This window comes from Homo sapiens, chromosome 18 (genome assembly GCF_000001405.40).
Source record: "Homo sapiens chromosome 18, GRCh38.p14 Primary Assembly".
Lineage (NCBI taxonomy): Eukaryota > Metazoa > Chordata > Mammalia > Primates > Hominidae > Homo > Homo sapiens.
The window spans coordinates 40,867,112-40,868,390 of record NC_000018.10 but is presented as its reverse complement, the minus strand read 5'-3'; the positions used below and the strand labels follow the sequence as shown (position 1 = coordinate 40,868,390).

The 1,279-nt window shown below is 38.0% G+C and overlaps 1 annotated feature.

The window, feature by feature from the left end:
- Positions 699–899: a silencer, noted in NCBI's record as "peak3126 fragment used in MPRA reporter construct". NCBI's record gives its function as "represses an SCP1 promoter by STARR-seq MPRAs in K562 erythroleukemia cells {active_cell/tissue: K562}" and the evidence as "EXISTENCE:reporter gene assay evidence [ECO:0000049][PMID:32103011]".

Below are 1,279 nucleotides of genomic sequence, written 5' to 3'. Positions count from 1 at the left end.
ACTGTTAAGTAAAATAAAGATGACATACATAAGCATTGTGATAGTGTGACAGTCAATCTGATAATGGAGATGACCAGTAAGTGACTCATGGGTAGGGCGTGTGCAGAGCAGAAACACTGGACGATGAGTTCACATCTCAAGCAAGACAGAGCAGGACAGGGTGAGATTTCATCACACTACTTAGAACAACACACAATTTAAAAGTTGTGAATTAATTCTAGAATTTTCCATTTAATATTTTTAGACTGCAATTGGCCATAGGTAACTGACACCACAGAAAGCAGAACCATAGATAAGGAGGGACGACTGTAGTAGCTACTCAACACACGTTTGCTAAATTAATGACCCTATTTGGGGAGAATATTAGGGAGTGTGTTATTTGAAATGAGAGTTAAGAAAAATGAGGCCAAAGCCATAAAGTTTGTAATTAGCCAATTAGCACAAGAAAACTCGTTTTTCTGACTTTTATATCTATGCCAAGACCAGTGAATCAAATTGCTTTCTATTGATATGTAGCACACCTAGTTCCTCAATTCCCAGAGTTTGCTTTTAAAAAGAAACTTATCAGTTTTCTGTTCAGGGAAACCTCAAAAACTCAGGGAAGCTTATCCTCAGGGTATTTTTAAAAGGTAAGGAACCTACAGTGTTAGCCGATGTTTTACACTGCTCAGATATATCCAGTTACAATAGGCTTTATGATGTAACATTAAGTGGAAATTTCAAGATTGCTTCTAGTCCAGGAGGAGCAGATATTTGTGACTCAGGAGTCTTTTAACTTCTGCTGACTTGTACATGCTGCCTCATCTGCCTACATAGCATTTGCCCAGACTTAGGATTGAAACTGAAGACACATCTGGTCTCCTAAGGGATTCAGAATTTGGGCGTTTAGCATTGATATTTTTAGTCCCTAACATACCAATTTTCCCTGTCAGCCAGACTTTTATATGGATACATTCTTAACCCATCTGATATGAACTAGGAAACTAAAATAAAAGCTTCTCATTCAAGAAGCAGACACACCGACAAAGAAGGCTGTCGTGAATGTGCATTTCTTGAAATACTTGCTATAATTCCCTGAAGTCCTATAACCTTCCCTGACATCAGTGAAAATTATTAGTTTTGTTCTTTGCTGTCATGTATCATGGTTACCTCTAATTGAAATGGAGGTGTTCCGAATAGCACAATCAGTTAAGAATCTTGCCAAGTGCCTCATTTGGATAATTTATAGCAGGATTCAAAGCTGATGAGTTTAGAGCCCATGAGTCCCTGGAGTCCTTAA